Source organism: Homo sapiens, chromosome 7, assembly GCF_000001405.40.
Source record: "Homo sapiens chromosome 7, GRCh38.p14 Primary Assembly".
NCBI lineage: Eukaryota > Metazoa > Chordata > Mammalia > Primates > Hominidae > Homo > Homo sapiens.
The window spans coordinates 63,777,327-63,795,980 of NC_000007.14; the positions used below are offsets into that span (position 1 = coordinate 63,777,327).

Here is an 18,654-nt window from a genome sequence, read left to right on the forward strand (position 1 = left end):
ACCAGGAAATGCTTGTAATCCACATTTTTGTCTCCTGGAAAATAAAGATTATAAGGGCCAGGCGCAGTGGCGCATGCCTGTAATCCTAGCACTTTGGGAGGCCGAGGCAGGTGGATCACGAGATCAGGAGATCGAGACTATCCTGGCTAACATGGTGAAACCCAGTCTCTATTAAAAATACAAAAATTGGCCGGGCGCGGTGGCTCACGCCTGTAATCCCGGCACTTTGGGAGGCAGAGGCGGGCGGATCACGAGGTCAGGAGATCGAGACCATCCTGGCTAACACGGTGAAACCCCGTTTCTACTAAACATACAAAAAATTAGCCGGGCGTGGTGGCGGGTGCCTTTAGTCCCAGCTACTCGGGAGGCTGAGGCAGGAGAGTGGCGTGAACCTGGGAGGCAGAGCTTGCAGTGAGCCAAGATTGCACCACTGCACTCCAGCCTGGGCGATGGAGCGAGACTCTGCCTCAAAAAAAAAAAAAAAATTAGCCAGGCTTGGTGTCGGGCACCTGTAGTCCCAGCTACTCAGGAGGCTCAGGCAGGAGAATGGCCTGAACCCGGGAGGTGAAGGTTGCAGTGAGCCGAGATCATGCCACTGCACTCCAGCCTGGGTGACAGAGTGAGACTCCATCTCAAAAATAAAACAAAATAAAAAAATAAATAAAGATTATAATTCCTGCCTTGATATGTGGACTATGTGATCCGCTGTATGCAAAATATCTAGTATATAATAGGTGCTGAATTAATACTACTTTCTGTACCTCATTCTTAATCATTGCTTAATTTTAAAAAGTTTAGAGTGACTACTGCTTTTGTAAAAAATATTTTTAATTATTATATAAAATCTAAGTCCTGTAGAAAAGTACAAAGCAGGCCGTGTGCTATAGCTCACACCTGTAATCCCAGCACTTTGGGAAGGCAGGGTAGAAGGATTGCTCAAGGCCAGGAGTATGAGACCAGCATGAGGAACATAGCAAGATCCCATCTCTAAAAAATTAAAAGCCAGTTATAGTAATGTACACCTGTAGTCCCAGCTACTTGGGAGGCTGAGGCAGGTGGGTCACTAGAATCCAGGGGTTTGAGATCGCAACCTGGGTAACAGAGTGAGACCCTGTCAGAGAGGGAGAGCGAGAGAGAGAAGAGAAAGCAAAACAAGAAAAGTACAAAGAAGCAAGTAATAAATCATGAAATTTTCAACCACCAAAAAATAACTTAACATTATGTGATATGACCAGGCCTGATAGCTCATGCCTGGCTGAGGCACGATAATCTCTTAAGTCTCGGAGGCAGAGGTTGCAGTGAGCCAAGATTACACCATTCCACTCCAGCCTGGGCAACAGAGAGAGAGAGACTCTGTGTCAAAAAAAAAAAAGTGATAATTCACACCTCTTTTTGTGCAAATAGGTAGTTAAGTAAGTAGATGTATTAATGGATTAAAAATAACTTTGCCTGGTGCAGTGGCTCACGCCTGTAATCCCAGCACTTTCGGACGGTGAATTGGGCAGATCACGAGGTCAGGAGATCGAGACAATCCTGGCCAACATGGTGAAACCCTGTTTCTACTAAAAATAGAAAAATTAGCTGGGCATGGTGGCGGGTGCCTGTAATCCCGGCTACTTGGAAGGGTGAGGCAGGAGAATCACTTGAACCTGGGAGGCGTAGGTTGCAGTGAGCCAAAATTGCACCACTGCACTCCAGCCTGGCAACAGAGAGACACTGTCTCAAAAAAAAAAAAAAAACTTTACATATTTTATATGTGTTTTAGTTCAAATATATATAATATTTATTTTGCTTGATACAACAGAAGCTGAAGAAACTAAAGTAAGGTGGGAGAATTTCTGAACTTCAGATAAAAGTCTACGTGAAGGTCATATCTTTTTATTCAACATTCATTAAAATTATGAAAAAAGATACAAAAGTATCATGATTCTTTTTAACCTGCAGTTTCTATTTTCACCCACAGCTGCTGTATTTTTGGAATTGATGCATGTTTGAGAGTTTCTGTTTAATGCGTTTATACTTGAATAACTATTCTATTATTATTATTATTATTAGTTGAGACAGAGTCTTGCTCTGTCACCCAGGCTGGAGTGCAGTGGTGCTCACTGCAACTTCTGCCTCCCGGGTTCAAGTGATTCTCCTGCCTCAGCCTCCTGAGTAGCTGGGATTATAGATGCACGCTACTATGCCCAGCTGATTTTTGTATTTTTAGTAGAGACAGAATTTCACCATTTTGGCAAGGCTGGTCTCGAACTCCTGACCTCAAGTGATCCACCCTCCTTGGCCTCCCAAAGTGCTGGGATTATAGGCGTGAGCCACCACAACGGGCCTGGGAGAATATTCTTGATTCATTTTCCTTTTCTTTGTTCTTCCTTTAAGTTCTGACTTTATTGTCATCTAGCTCTATCTGGGGTTATGGGAAGCTCTGAGGCTGGCTGGAGGTTCTTCTCACATGTACTTATGTTTTCCTGCCCAAAGGCCAGTGGAGTACTTTCTTTATCATTGAAGCTCTGTAGCTTAGCCAGGGTTGGCTCGAGGCCAGTCATTCCTTACTAGATTTTCCAGACCTCAGCTCACACATCACCTTGGCAGAGAAATCCTCCCTCATCCTGTGGAGAGGGAGGATTCATTGCCTCATTCTGCCTGGTTCTCTCAAAGCAGATATCACACTCAAAAATCAGCTTGCTATTTATTGAATTGCTTGCCTACATATCCTCCTCCCAAACTCACACCAAATCAGAACAAAGGCTCCCTGCAGCAGGAGTCCCATCTTAGTCATTCTCAGAACCTAATATAGTACTTGGCACATAGTAGGTGCACACTAAATGTCATTAGAATGAATAAGTATCAAGGGCCCGGGTGCAGTGGCTCATGCCTGTAATCCCAGGACATTGGGAGGCCGAGGCAGGTGGATCACCTTTAGGTTAGGAGTTCCAGACCAGACTGGCCAACATGGTGAAACCTCGTCTCTGCTAAAAATACACAAATTACCTGGGCATGCTTGTACACACCTGTAATCCCAGCTACACGGGAGCCTGAGGCAGGAGAACCACTTGAATCTGGGAGGTGGAGGTTGTAGTGAGCCAAGATTGTGCCATCACACTCCAGCCTGGGTGACGGAGTGAGACTGCATCTCAAAAAATAAATAAAAAGAACAAAAAAAGAATGAATAAGTATCAAGGAAGGGAGATTTTGTGATTTGCCACCTTTACATGGAAATCCTGCTTAACATTGACATTTTCTATTTGATGGTATTTGTATAATAAGAAACTGAAACTGAGCTAATTAAAAGAGAATGAGGCTGGGCACAGTGATTCATGCCTCTAATCCCAGCACTTTGGGAGGCTGAAGGGGGAGGATCATTTGAGAGTAACATTTTGAGACCAGCCTGGGCAACATACAGAGATCCCTGTCTCTGCAAAAATAACATTTAAAAAAATGAACCAGGTGTGCCAGGTGCAGGGCTCATGCCTGTAATCTCAGCACTTTGGGAGGTTAAGGCAGGTGGATCACCTGAAGTCAGGAGTTCAAGACCAGTGTGGCCAACATGGTGAAACCCCATCCCTACTAAAAATACAAAAATTAGCCAGTGTGGTGGCGAATGCCTGTAGTCCCAGCTACTTGGGAGGCTGAGACAGGAGAATTGCTTGAACCTGGGAGGCAGATTTGTAGTGAGCTGAGATCAGGCCATTACACTCCAGCCTGGGTAGCAAGAGTAAACTTCATCAGATGTGGTGGCACATGCCTGTAGTCCTAGCTCCTCGGGAGGCTGAGGGGAGAGAATCTCTTGAGCCTAGGAGATAGAGGCTGCAGTGAGCCATGATTGAACCACTGCACTCCAGCTTGAGAGTCAGAGCTAGACCTGATAGCTAAAAACAAAACAAAAAAACCGGGCGCAGTGGCTCATGCCTGTAATTCCAGGACTTTGGGAGGCCTAGGCGGGTGGATCACCTGAGGTCAGGAGTTCAAGTCCAGGTTGGCCAACATGATGAAACACCGTCTCTACTAAAAAATACAAAAATTAGCCGGGCATGGTGGCAGGTGCCTGTAATCCCAGCTAATCAGGAGGCTGAGGCACAAGAATTGCTTGAACCCGGGAGGTGGAGGTTACAGTGAGCAGAGATCATGCCACTGCACTCCATCCTGGGTGACAGAGCAAGACTCAAAGAAAACAAAGCAAAACAAAACAAAAACACTAAAAAGAACATTCCAGCTGCTTGTTAAGAGACTGGACATAGATGGACAATAAAGGGAGCAGGACACCTGGTGAGGAGCTGCCATGTCAACATCTTTTGATTACTCCAGGCCACATTTTGAGCAGGGCCTCTGCTAGAATGTGGCCCAGCTTCACATGCCTCAATTCTGACACTCAGTGCTGGTAGAGGCCCTGTGATGTCACACTGTGGAGGCTTCTTGGGAAAGTGTTGGCTCTTCAAAATCAACATCTTGGTTCATTCCTTTGATGCTGGAGACAATGACTTGTCTCTCCTCATATGTCTGATCAAGACAGTTAAAAACACAGTGGAATGTCTCTTTGTCCAGGAGCTTGGGCTGCTCTGGAGTTTGCACAAACACAAATAACCATCACATGCTGTCAGGCCATGTGTCTTGGTTATGACCGTTCAGCAGTGGACGTCTACGTAGTGGAATATCCCAAACATCTCTTTAAAAAAAAAAAAGAGAGAGACAGAGAGAGACAGGGTCTCACTATGTTGCCCAGGCTGGTCTCGAACTCCTGGCCTCAAGAGATCCTCCTGCCTCAGCCTCCCCAAGTGCTGGGATTACAGGTGTGAGCCACTGAGCCTGGCCCTTTGTTGTTGTTTTTAGACAGGGTCTTTCTTTGTCATGCAGGCTGGAGTGCAGTGGCATGATTACAGCTCACTGCAGCTTCAAATTCCTGGGCTCAAGTGATCCTCCTCCCTCAGCCTCCTGAGAAGCTGGGACCACAGGCATGCACCACCAACCACATCTAGCTAAGTAAAAAAAAAATTTTTTTTCTACAGACAAGGTCTCGCTATATTGACCAGGCTGGTATTGAACTCCTGATCTAAAGCCATCCTCCTACCTCCATCTCCCTCCCACCTTGAACACCTCTTTTCCCAGGTTTGAAAATAAAATCTACTCTTTGAGAAGGAGAAAGAAATGAGTAAGACAGAAAACCAAGAAGCCAACCAGGCTTGCCTGGATAAACACTACATCCCTTAAATTGGTTTTCCTTCAATGATACAGTGATTAAGGGTTGTTTTTTTTTTTAAGTTCCTACTTGGCATGTGAATAGTTTCTTCCTCAGTAAATTTGAATCTCAAGTGTCTATTCTGTGATTGAATGAAGCAAATCTTTTACACATGGGAAACCATTATTAAATGATTTTGTTATAGAAAGGGGTGGATGGGGGCTGGGCATGGTGGCTCACGCCTGTAATCCTAGCACTTTGGGAGGCTGAGGCGGGTGGATCACCTGAGGTCAGGGGTTCGAAACCAGCCTGGCCAACATGGTGAAACCCCATCTCTACTAAAAATACAAAATTAGCTGGGTGTGGTGGTGCATGCCTGTAATCCCAGCTACTTGGGAAGCTGAGACAGGAGAATTGCTTGCACCTGGGAGGCAGAGGTTGCAGTGAGCTGAGATTGCGCCATTGCACTCCAGCGTGGGTAACAGGAGTGAAACTCCATCTCAAAAAAAAAAAAAAAGGGTGGATGGGATGGGGGCAAGACAGGGGCGGATGTCACTGTGTCTCTGTCCCTGTGCTCCCCACCCACCTTCTCTGTCCCTGCTCCCATGATGCCTGTCAAGGGGCACAGTGTGCTGAAGGAGGGGTTACCAGGTGGCATATCCAGAAGGCATAATACTTGGCTTCATGGAGTCCACTTACTTTGATCTAATTTGTTTACTCATAAAGTTCATTAAACATTCACATCAACAGCTTCTGAATATCTAAGCCAATTAAACATGGCGATGTTACTCGATTCTTAAAACAAGCTGGAGACCGGGCACAGTGGCTCACACCTGTAATCCTAACACTTTGGGAGGCTGAGGCAGGTGGATCACCTGAGGTCAGGAGTTCGAGACCAACCTGGCCAACATGGTGAAACCCCTGTCTTTACTAAAAAAAATACAAAAAAATTAGCCAGACATGGTGGTCGGCACCTGTAATCCCAGCTACTTGGGAGGCTGAGGCAGGAGAATGGCAGGAACCCTGGAGTCGGAGGTTGCAGTGAGCCAAGATCGCACCACCGCACTCCAGCCTGGGCAATAGAGCAAGACTCCATCTCAGAAAATAACAAAACAGAAACAAAATAAGCTGGAGAAGGGTTTGTTTTAGCTTCATTTTGGAAATGTGAAGACACGGAGTGAGAGGGAGTGAGTTGTCCAAATTCAGGCAGCAAGCTAAAGACCATGTGGTCCCTGGCCCTTTGCAGCCAGAGTGTGTGGGCCAACTGTGTGGTGGTATGCACTCCCCCTCCATCTGCCGGCACTACCATGTGCCGTAACTTGCCTTGTCACCTGGTGACCTGGAAGTCTTTGGTTTTCCCTGACCTTTGCCACCAGATCTGCTTACTTGCAAGTCCTGTTGGTTGTAACCTTCCCAGCCTTTCCCCGTCTTCCTCCTTTTTATCTTGTTTCATTGTTTTGTTTTCATTGTTTCAACCCAGCTATAATCATATCTGGCCAAGATTCCTCCAATAGTTCCTAGTTGGAGTCCTCCAAACTCTCTTTTTTAAACAAAGATGACTGAACAGGTAGCTCATGTCTGTAATCCAAGCACTTTGGGAGGCTGAGGCAGGAGGATCACTTGAGGCCAAGAGTTCAAGACCAGCGGGCAACAGAATGAGACCTCATCTCTACAAAAAAATTTAAAATTAGCTGGGTGAAGGAAATAATGTATACAGTGGTCCATTTCCAAGACAAAGTGGCTTAAATCAGGTTAGGCCAGCAAACTACAAAAGAAACAGTACATACTAGGTTTCTGCTTGGACACTCTATGCCTGCTTGTCACCACCCCCACCTTTTTAGTTGCCCCCACCTGAACCAAAGAAGTTTAGTCTAAGATGAAACTTTACTAGCCCACAAAATAGCTGGTTTTGTCTGTTCTTATCAGCCTGCCTAGCTACTTGGGTCATAAGTCAAATACTTGAAGAGGCTCTAAGCTAACTAGGATTGCAATGCATTGTGGGCTGCAACAAAATGCAGCAGGACAACTGTAGGAAGTAGAAAAGTTCCTCTTCAAAGCTCATCTTGGTTTAAACATAAAATAATAGACACTAGGAATAATAGCTCCTTACTCTAAAGCCTCCTATCAACTATTAGTTCTTACACTTTAGCCCATTGAGTTGCTTGGCTTACTCAGGCATGTCTGGACAGGCCCAGGCAAGTCTTAGCTCATAGTTTATGTCCCTTCCTTATTTGGAAATGTTATTACTTCCTTAAGCCTTTCATAAGCAACTTCCTCTCTTTCTTTGTTCTTCCCTGCACTTACCTATTTAGGGAAGTTTTAGGCTATTAGCAAATCGGGCATCAGTTTAAGATTGTGAGGTTCAACTCCAGCCAGTGGATGCAGGACACAGCAGTAAGGACGACCCAAATGTATAAGGGTAAATAGATCTGCTTTTCCTTTGCTCAGGTGTGCTCTTGCCATTGTTCCATCTGTGATTGAGCACCCTTTCCGCAGAAAGTAAAGATTGCCTTGCTGAGAGATCTTTTGTCTTCATGCTGACTTTTCTTCATGGCACCAATTATCTATTTCTAACAATTCTGGTATTTCTAACAACCCTAAAGAAAACACCTACAGCCCCTACCCAACAACCAATAGGCAACATCCAGGAAGATTGTGACCCCATAGTACTCAGCCTATGAGGAACCAGGGGAGGTACCTGCAGACGAAGGGATACATTGCTTGTTGAAACTGTGCTATGTGTGCCTGGTGCCAGACACCCGATCCTGCAAGACCATCATTAAAAGTCTCACTTTCTCTGTGCTCTGGGTCTCTGAGTCCATTCTTTGGGTTTGGACGGGTGCATTTGTTTCTCACACTGGGTGTGGTGGTGCGTGCGTGTAATCTCAGCTACTCAGGAGGTTGAGGCAGGCAGATGGCTGGAGCCCAGGAATCTGAGGCAGCAGTGAGCTATGATCGTGCTGTGGTGTGATCTCTGCTCACTGCAACCTCCGCCTCTCAGGCTCAAGTGATACTCCTGCCTCAGCCTCACGAGTAGCTGGGATTACAAGCACCCACCGCCATACCCCGCTAATTTTTGTATTTTTAGTAGAGACTGGATTTAACTATGTTGGTTAGGCTGGTTTCAAACTCCTGACCTCAAATAATCTGCCTGCCTCAGCATCCCCAAGTACTGGGATTACAGGCATGAGCCACTGTGCCTGGCCTCAAAAAACATTTTTTAATTAAAAAAAATATAGTCTCAGCCAGGTGTGGTGGCTCACACTTTTAATCCCAGCACTTTGGGAGGCCGGATCACCTGAGGTCAGGAGTTCGAGACCAGCCTGGGCAACATGGTAAAACCCTGTCTCTACTAAAAATACAAAAATTAGCCAGGCATGGTGGCAGGCATCTGTAATCCCAGCTACTCAGGAGGCTGAGGCAGGAGAATCACTTGAACCCAGGAGACAGAGGTTGCAGTGAGCCGAAATCATGCCACTGCACTCCAGCCTGGGTGACAGAGCAGGACTCTGTCTCAAAAAAACAAATAAAAAATTAAAATAAATAAAATGTTTAAATTATTTTAGACAAAGAACTAAGAATAGGATGGCAGGGGTGTGAGAAGTCATGGGCTTCAGGGTTCCTGCATGTACCTGAGCTCTGAGACTAAGTTTAGGTTGGCAGCCGGGGTCTTGTTTATGCCTGTCTTAAATTATTTTCAGGGTCCCAGCCCTGAGGTTCACAGAGCTTGGAGGGAGAGGACCCCAGTCGAGACACATCACAGGGGCCTTGGGATGGCAGTGTGCAGCGGAGTCTCTGCACACTTTAGGATTTAAGCCTAGATCTAGCCTGCTACAGAGCACAGGGGAGCCCCCTCTGTTTCACCTTGAGGCAAGAAGAAGGGAACACCCTAGCCCTTGATTACACTGATAAAACAGAGGAAGTGGGTTGGGAAATATTCCATTCATTATATTCTGGGAAAGAACAGATCCTCCACATCAAATTGAGTGGTGATTTATTAAAGGGAAGCCAAGGCCAGGCACGGTGGCTCATGCCTGTAATCCCAGGACTTTGGGAGGCCGAGGTGGGTGGATCATCTGAGGTCAGGAGTTCAAGACCAGTCTGGTCAACATGGTGAAACCCCATCTCTACTAAAAATACAAAAAATGGGCCCAGCGCGGTGGCTAGCGCCTGTAATCCCAGCACTTTTGGGAGGCTGAGGTGGGTGGATTGCCTGAGGTCAGGAGTTCGAGACCAGCCTGGCTAACATGGTGAAACCCTGTCTTTACTGAAAATGCAAAAATTAGCTGGGTGTGGTGGCGGGTGCCTGTAATCCCAGCTACTCAGCAGGCTGAGGTAGAAGAATTGCTTGAAAGCAGGAGATGGATGTTGCAGTGAGCCAATATTGGACCACTGCACTCTATTCTGGGCAACAGAGCAAGACTCCATCTCAAAAAAAAAAAAAAATTAGCTGGACATGGTGGCAGGCACCTGTAATCCCAGCTACTCGGGTGCCTAAGGCAGGAGAATCGCTTGAACCCAGGACATGGAGGTTGCAGTGAGCCACAGCACCATTGCACTTGAGTCTGGACAACAAGAGTGAAACTCCACCTCAAAAAAAAAAAAAAAATTAAAATAAGTACCAGGAAGCCACGTGGATGGGTGGAGAGGGAATACTAGCATCAGATGGGCTTTGGTGCTAATTGAAGCTCTACCTTTTACAGTAATTGGGCAAGTCACTCAACCCTCTCAGATTGACTTTTCTATGTAAAGTAGCTATTCCTGTGGATGGCTTAAGGGGAGTGGAAGCAAAGGTCATCAGAGTTGATGTATGACTCATCTCAGAGTTGAGGATGAAAAGTGAGGATAATAACACCTGCCTGTACCCTGGTACAGATCATAAGATGTTTATTTATTTGTGGAGACAGGGTCTCACTCTGTTGCCCAGGCTGGAGTGCAGTGGTACAATCATGGCTCACTGCAGCCTTGAACTCCCGGCCTCAAGCAATCCTCCCGCCTTGATCTACAGGGATTTACAGGCATGAGTTACTGTGCCTGGCCAGATCTCATGAAGTTTAAATATGACGTAGCATCTGGCAGGTAGACTTGCTCAGTGGAGGCCTCTTTTTTGCCTGGTGGGTCAGCAGGTCCTGTCTGTACAAATGATGTTTACTGGTCCACTCCTCCAGGTTTATAAAAATGAGCATTTTCTCTGTACTGACAATAATGAAATAAGGAAACTGAGGCTTGGAGAGGCAATATAGCCCCGCCCGAAATCACATGGGTAATAAGTCAGAGAACTAGAATTCAAACTCCAAGTCTACCTCCTGGACCCAAGCTCTTAACTTCTGTGCTATGAACTAATACCACATGGAGAATTTTGATTATTTTCTTAGCATTTACCACCATATAACTTAATATGTATTATACTTATTTATCTTGGGATGTCACTTCTGGGATTAGGTTTCAAAAAGGACTGTGAAACTGTCTCTCATTTTCTTTTTCTGTCTCTTCCTCTTTCCCCTCCCTAGCCCTGGAGTAAGCCAGCTGCTTCTTATGAAGAGGTGCAAGTGGACAAGAACTGATGTCTCCAGCCCACAGCCAGAGAGGACCTGAGGCCTGCCAGCAGCCGTCGAAGTGAGTTTCAAAGAGGATTCTGAAGCCTTGAGAGAGCTGCAGCCCTGGCTGACACCCTGATTGTATCCTCGTGAGAGCCTGAGCCAGAGGACACAGCTAACCTCACCCAGATTCCTAGCCCATGGAAACTGTGAGGAAAAAAAGTTTATTGTTTATAAAGCTGCTGAATTTGGGGCGATTTTTACCCAACAATAGATAACGAATACAAGGATATTGCTTATTACTCAACATCACTATATAAAGCCCCTGAAAAAATGGAAGCTGCAACCAGGGAAACACTGAAAATCTCCAAGAACACTGTGTTTCTTCTTAAAGACAGGGAGAAAAGCACATGCATCTGTTTTCCTTTTAGTTTTGGCCACCAGGAAGCTCAGAGCCAAATTTATGATGCAATTTTCATAATTGTGTAAGTCCCTATGGCCTGCTTATCTGTGTTCTTTTTTTTTTTTTTTTTTTTTTTGAGACGGAGTCTCGCTCTGTCGCCCAGGCTGGAGTGCAGTGGCGGGATCTCGGCTCACTGCAAGCTCCGCCTCCCGGGTTCACGCCATTCTCCTGCCTCAGCCTCCCAAGTAGCTGGGACTACAGGCGCCCGCCACTACCCCCGGCTAATTTTTTGTATTTTTAGTAGAGACGGAGTTTCACCGTTTTAGCCGGGATGGTCTCGATCTCCTGACCTCGTGATCCGCCCGCCTCGGCCTCCCAAAGTGCTGGGATTACAGGCGTGAGCCACCGCACCCGGCCCTGTGTTCTTATTCCTGGCCTTTCATTTTATTCTGACTTTTCATTTTCTTCGTCCTGATTATATTAGCTCATCTTTATATTTTTCTGTATTCTACGATTTACGACAAGCCACCTCAAATTCAGCTTACAGAGAAGCAAGGCATTCATAAAATTTTTTTTTTTTTTTTTTGAGACTGTCACTCTATTGCCCAGGCTGGAGTGCAGTGGCACGATCTCAGCTCACTGCAACCTCCGCCTCCCGGGTTCCAGCAGTTCTCATGCCTCAGTCTCCCGAGTAGCTGGGATTACAGGCGCCCACCACTACACCCGGCTAATATTTTTTTTTCGTATTTTTATTAGAGATGAGGTTTCACTATGTAGACTAGGCTGGTCTCAAACTCCTGACCTCAAGTGATCCACCTGCCTCGGCCTCCCAAAGCGTTGGGATTACAGGCGTGACCCACTGCGCCCGGCCCATAAATCATTTTTTAAAAACAGTTTTGAAATTTAAAACATAGTTTTGAACATTAAAAAAAAAAGTTTTGCACAGGTTGAACACAGAGTGCCCTTAGGTGGTAGTGGTAAGATCAAGTCATAGGAGTGTGGCTCTAAAGCTCCAAGCATTGGCCAGGGTTGATTTGGATTGGGTCAGAAATATCAAGTGATAACGACGAAAAAGGGAAAAAGGATAGCAATTGAGTGCCACGTCCAGAGGGAGGGGCCGAGGCCTCGCCCAGTCACCCACAGTGGCATCCTTGCTCCGCTCCCCGGAGTCCCTCCCCGCGCTGGCCCGCCTGGCCCCGTCCCTCCCGGCCCCGCCCCTCTCTCCCCGGGCCCCAAGCCTCGCGGGCGCCGTGGCGCGCTGCCTCAGTTTCCGCCGGCCGATCGGGCCTCCAGGGTAGTTGCGCTCTCTGTCCACTCCTTCGGCGCCTGCGCGCGCCTTCCCCGCCCCGCCCGCCTCACTCCTGTCGGGGCGGTGGGGCCGCGCGCCTGTCGGGGCGGGGCCCGGAGCAGGCGACGGAGCCAATGGGGCGGCAGCGGCGGCGGCTGAGGCGGAGGCGGAGGGAGGCAGACGGCGGCGCACGTCCTGCTGAGTGTCGGTGCCGCGGTGGGAGAAGGTGACCTGATACGCAGTGTGCGCTGCCGCCGGGATCCTGCTCTCCATCTACGCCTACCACGTGGAGCTGGAGAAGGGCGGGACGCCGAGCACCGGGCCCTCTGCGACCTGGGACCGTGGGTGAAGCGCTCCGCTGCGCTTGGCTCCAGATAGCCGGCGTGGGGGTGTGGGCCAGGGGCTGCCAAGCGGGGCGAGGGCAGAGGCTGGGGCTGGGGAGCGCGCGGTGGGAGCTCGGGCCTGGAGGCGGAGGGGACCGGGCCGCGGGGGAACTGACTGGGTCGGGGCTGGGCGGGAGGCGGCGGTCGGGCGCTCCTGCCCGGGGGCGACCCGAGCCCAGGTCGCGGGGAGGAGGTGGCGGGGCCGCGAGGTCGCCGGGGAAGAATGAGGTGGCCGAGTGCAGCCCAGAGGCTGGGGCAGATGGGGAGCGGTCGGGCGCGCTGGGGCTGGGCTGGGCAGGAGCGCGAGGGGGCTGCGGAGTGTGGGTCCCGGCGGCTTGACAGGTTTCCTCGTTCTCGGGAGGCGGGCCGGGGGTGTGGGACCCTGTCCGCAGCACCCGCGAGACCAGCGGCCGCCTCTTGTCCCCACCATCGCTGCTGCTGAGTCTTTGGGGCGGGCTCGGACCCAGGGAGGGTTATATTTCCCACTGTCTTCCTGGTGCTAGGACAGGTGTTTCCGTGATCAGGCCTCTTTGTACTCCAGCGCTAGTGAGAATTTGCAGACTTACTAGGACGGTGACATTTGCGGGCAAACACGAATTTGACCCTACTTTGGAAGAAGATAACCGGCACTTAACATATCTGATTTCTTGGATTCCCCCTCGTATATTTCGGTGTGCCAGGAGGGGGAAATGGTCTGAGTTCGAGTCTAGTTTAAGCTTCATTGGAGTAAAGGACAAGTATGTTATGTAGATGGCGGTGTTATAGGCATTGGGATGACTTTTAGACATTGTTGCTTATTAGCATAATACGATACCCACAACAGATTAAAAACACACGCTTTGCTAAACTGGAGTGATTGGTTTGTGTTACTGATCATTTTAGTTTTTTTTTAATGTTATAATTGATTTGTCTGTTACGTTTTATTTTAATGCATTGAATTTCCCTAGGCTAAAAGTTACTTTGAGAAAGGGAGAATTTACATTTTAAAAGTGGATGCGTGTTTTCTTTCTTTCTTTAATGGGGGGATTAAAAGCATAACAAAAGTCGAAGGAATGATTTCAAAATTGATAGGTTACGATTTTGATAGAGACTATGTCTGATATTTAGATGTTTGTTAACAGTAGTCACATTTGAGCGATTTCTTCCTCTCCTGTTGATTGGTAAATTTGTATGTATCAGAAATATATAGCTCACTAGTTTATTTCGACTCACATATTGTTGATTATATGAACAAGTAGCATTGGAGTTTGTCTTGTTATTGGTTACAAACTTTAGGGAGCTGATCTTTCCACTTAGCCTTTTTCATGGACCAGATACTCTATCTCATTTGCTCTTAAACAAAAATCCTGTAGCTTTTTACAGGAGAAATAATTATCACAGGGCCAAATGGAACATTTTAAAAATGCATTTAAAATGTAGGTATCAGTTTACAGGGGAAAATACATAGATGTGACAAAAAGCTCACATTTGTTGTTGGTTATTCAGAACAAAGTTAATAGGCTGATTAGACTCTCAGATACACTTTGAGAACCATTGAGTGTCTTTTATGCAAACATTTTTATGTTATTTCCACTTTTGGAAAGGACTTTTAAACTTGCAAGTACCTTTCACCCAAAGTTAGTTGAATGAATATATAAGGAATATATATAATATAATATATATAATATATATATAATATATATAATATATATAATATATATAATATATATAATATATATATAATATATATAATATATATTATATATATAATATATATATAATATATATAATATATATATAATATATATTATATATATAATATATATAATATATATATAATATATATAATTCATATATATAATGAATATATAAGGAAAACATGTAGCAGCACTTTTCAAGTATTTAAGAAACAAGAAGAACTAAAAATAACTTTTGATCCTAGTTTAATATGGAATTTAAGCAGAATTATTACCAGTTTTAGATTTTTATTTGAAACAAGTAGTCTATAATAGATGGACCTTTTAACATTGGGGCATGGAAAGAGTACTTTACTATATGCTTAAGTTGTTTTATTTTTTGAGATGGAGTCTTGCTTTTGTCACCCAGGCTGGAGAGCAATGGCGCGATCTTGGCTCGCTGCAACCTCTGCCTTCAGGATTCAAGTGATTCTCCTGCCTCAGCCTCCGGAGTAGCTGGGATTACAGACTCCCACCATCAAGCCCGACTAATTTTTGTATTTTTAGTAGAGACGGGGTTTCTGCATGTTGGCCAGGCTGGTCTCAAACTCCTGACCTCGGTTGATCTGCCTGCCTCGGCCTCCCAAAGTGCTGGGATTACAGCCGTGAACCACTGAGCCCGGCCTGCTTAAGTTCTTAAAATGGACTTTTCTTGGCTGGGCGCGGTGGCTCACACCGCAATCCCAGCACTTTGGGAGGCTGAGGCGGGCAGATCAACCGAGGTCAGGAGTTCGAGACCAGCCTTGCCAACATGGTGAAACCCATCTCTACTAAAAATACAAAAATTAGCCGGGCGTGGTGGCGCATGCCTGTAGCCCCAGCTACTCGGGAGGCTGAGGCAGGAGAATTGCTTGAACCCAGGAGGCAGAGGTTGCAGTGAGCCGAGATTGCACCATTGCACTCCAGCCTAGGTGACAAGAGTGAGACTCCATCTCAAAAAATAAAAAAAAAATGGACTTTTCTTTTAAAAAGAGAGTTTTGAACCATTTAATAAGCATACACTCTAAATATTTTCATAGTTAATGCATCCTGCAAGAGCTGTGTGTTTTTGCACCATAAAACATCAAGTAGTATATTAAAAATATATATAAGTACATGTAAGACTAAAGGTAACTGGATCTCTTTATAGTTTTAAATGTGAATTTAATATGTTGTGACTGAAAGTGATGTTTCATTGTGTAGCTGTGGACATAAAATAGTTTAACTTAGAAGCTTGCAAAAGGAGGGTGGGTAAAAATAAGATATGCCAATAAGAGTAAATAATTTATTTGCTATCTATACAGTGAAATTAAGAAATTTGTTCAGTTTGATCAGCCTGTTTATAAACTGCTTGCAAAAATCAAGTACTTTATAAACTACTCATTTAATAAATGAATTTACAAATCAGCTTGTTTTGCAAGTAGTTTATAAACAGGCTGATCAAAATCACATATGTACGTATACATATATAATCACATATATATGTACGGATATAGACTAATTTTCTTTTGGAAGTGGTAGACACAACATCATTGAAAGTTTTTATTTTGTCAAGCTGAAAGAGACTTTAAATGAAAGCTGATTATTGGATGCCTCAAGTTAGTTTATTCTGATAGTGATTGCCATGTAGCAGTAATACTCAAAGATGTGACTGTTTTAGGAAAAGAAAGTTTGAGCCCAGAGGAAAGTTAACACATGAAAAAGATTCTGAAGAAAGCAATCTTTGAGGACCCAGAGTCAGCATGTGGTTTTGGATTGCTTAAATTCACTTTATTCTCATTTCACAATCCCTAAATGTCTTAATCCAAACAGAATAAGGTAGAGATTAATGAGAGAATCTTGAGGGGCATGTGTAATCTGTGTGTAAAGTCCTCTATTATTCTGGGGAGGCATAATGATGGAAAGTTCCAGACTTTTAGGTTTCTAAAGAAATATTTCCCCCCAGTTAGGAGGCTACAATAGAAATGCTGATTTTTTACTTCTACCAGGTACAGCCAATAAAAACAGTAACACACCACTATCTCCTATCACCATCATTTCATTTAACAAAAGGATATTTCCATTCAAACAATTTGAAAGAACAGAATCTCTCAGAATAAAAGATCTTTAAATGGAATCAATTAGCTATATGGAAAAGTTTACTTTCAGACCAGCCTGGCCAACATGCTGAAACCCCGTCTCTAGTAAAAATACAAAATTAGCTGGGTGTGGTGGCATACACCTGTAATCCCAGCTACTCTGGAGGCTGAGGCAGGAGAATCGCTTGAACCCCGGAGGTGGAGGTTGCATTAAGCTCGCACCATTGCACGCCAGCCTGGGTAACAGAGCGAGACTCCGTCTCAAAAAAAAAAAAAACAAAAAGTTTACTTTCATGTTCTTACTATTCCCCATTTTCCCATAAATCAGTGAAAACTCTGCTGCAAACCTGCACCAGCCTGCCAGCTAACATTAAGTTAGCACTCCCTGTCCCCTTGGTTTGGTACACTGAACTCAAATCTAAGGAATCTGTGTGGGCTTCCAGCCCTCTGAGTTCTTAGCTTGTGGCCTTATCTTCGTGATGCCTCAGTTTCTTATGTTAAATAGGGATTTTAACACCTACTTGGAGCCTGGTGCAGTGGCTCACACCTGTAATCTCAGCACTTTGGGAGGCTGACACCTGGCAGATCTCTTGAGCTTAGGTTTCAGACTAGCCTGGGCAACAGGGCAAAACCCTGTCTCTACAAAAAATACAAAAGTTAACTGGGCATGGTGGTGCCTGCCTGTATTTCCAGGTTCTTGGGAGGCTGAGGTGTGAGGATCACTTAAGCCTCGGAGGCTGAGGTCCACAGTGAGCCATGATGGTGCCACTGCCCTCCAGCCTGGGTGGTAGAGAGAGACCCTGTCTCAAAAAACAAACAAATAAACCAAAAAACCCTACTTTGCTAGATGAGTGTTAAGATGAAAAGTGATACATGTATGTTCCAGAAATAAAGTCTGTCCTCAGTTATAGCTGTTACCATTGATTGGAGATGTTCTTATTTTTTTCAGTGTTTGATAACAAGTGCCTTTAAGTATAAGTTTCTTGTATATACTTGTGTATATATTTGAATATTGTTTTAATGTAGTTTATTGCTGACCTAAAGACGTGTTCATTTAAAACAACTTTGAAGTTGTGCAAGATAAACTAATATGCAGAATTTTTTTTTTTTTTTTTTTTTTTTTTTTTTTTGAGATGGAGTCTTGCTCTGTCACCCAGGGTAGAGTGCAGTGGCACGATCACAGCTCACTGCAACCTCCGCCTCCTGGGTTCAAACGATTCTCCTACCTCATCCTCCTGAATAGCTGGGTTTACAGGTGCACGCCACCATGCCTGGTTAACTTCTGTATTTTTAGTAGAGACAGGGTCTCGCCATGTTGGCCAGGCTGGTCTTGAACTCCCGACCTCAGGTGATTTTGCCCGCCTCAGCCTCCCAAAGTGCTGAGATTATAGGCATCAGCCACTGTGCCCAGCCCTAACATGCAGAATATTCTATGTAAGTATTTTCTATATATTAGACCCCCTCTAAGAAGGGTTTCTATGTAAGAATAGTACAAATGGTCTGGAAAGGCTAATAGGCTTGACAAATCTATGTTTCTTAAAACTGTAAAAATAGTCTGGTTGTCTTATGGTATATGTATAGGACATATGTATAGGACATATACCATAGGGGATTTGTTCCAGGACCCCTATTTCTACCAAAATCCTGGCATAGTCAAGTCCCCACCGTGGGCCCTGCAGAACCTGGATATATGAAAAGTTGGGCCTCCATATATGCAGGTTTCGGTCTGCATTTGGTTGAAAAAGATCCACATATAAGTGAGCCCACGCAGCTTAAACCCGTGTTGTTCAAGGGTCCACTGCATTTGAAAATCAAGTCCACGGTCGGGCACGGTGGCTCACACCTGCAATCCCAGCACTTTGGGAGTCCGAGGCGGGCGGATTACCTGAGGTCAGGAGATCGAGACCATCCTGGCTAACATGACAAAACCCCATCTCTACTAAAAAAAAAGAAATACAAAAAAATTAGCCAGGCGTGGTGGCGGGTGCCTGTAGTCCCAGCTACTAGGGAGGCTGAGGCAGGAGAATGGCGTGAAACCAGGAGGCGAAGCTTGCAGTGAGCTGGGATCGCACCACTGCACTCCAGCCTGGGCGACAGA

General features: G+C 45.5%; 3 annotated features.

Annotated features, from left to right (window-relative positions):
* Nucleotides 6,408-7,607: an enhancer, noted in NCBI's record as "MED14-independent group 3 enhancer chr7:63244112-63245311 (GRCh37/hg19 assembly coordinates)". NCBI's record gives its function as "activates an origin of replication core promoter dependent on BRD2, BRD4, P300/CBP and CDK7 cofactors, and independent of MED14, by STARR-seq in HCT116 cells {active_cell/tissue: HCT116}" and the evidence as "EXISTENCE:reporter gene assay evidence [ECO:0000049][PMID:35650434]".
* Nucleotides 7,105-7,604: an enhancer, noted in NCBI's record as "H3K27ac hESC enhancer chr7:63244809-63245308 (GRCh37/hg19 assembly coordinates)". NCBI's record gives its function as "activates a minimal SCP1, AML or CMV promoter by ChIP-STARR-seq in primed H9 embryonic stem cells {active_cell/tissue: H9 hESC(primed)}" and the evidence as "EXISTENCE:reporter gene assay evidence [ECO:0000049][PMID:30033119]".
* Nucleotides 12,943-13,442: an enhancer, noted in NCBI's record as "H3K27ac hESC enhancer chr7:63250647-63251146 (GRCh37/hg19 assembly coordinates)". NCBI's record gives its function as "activates a minimal SCP1, AML or CMV promoter by ChIP-STARR-seq in naive H9 embryonic stem cells {active_cell/tissue: H9 hESC(naive)}" and the evidence as "EXISTENCE:reporter gene assay evidence [ECO:0000049][PMID:30033119]".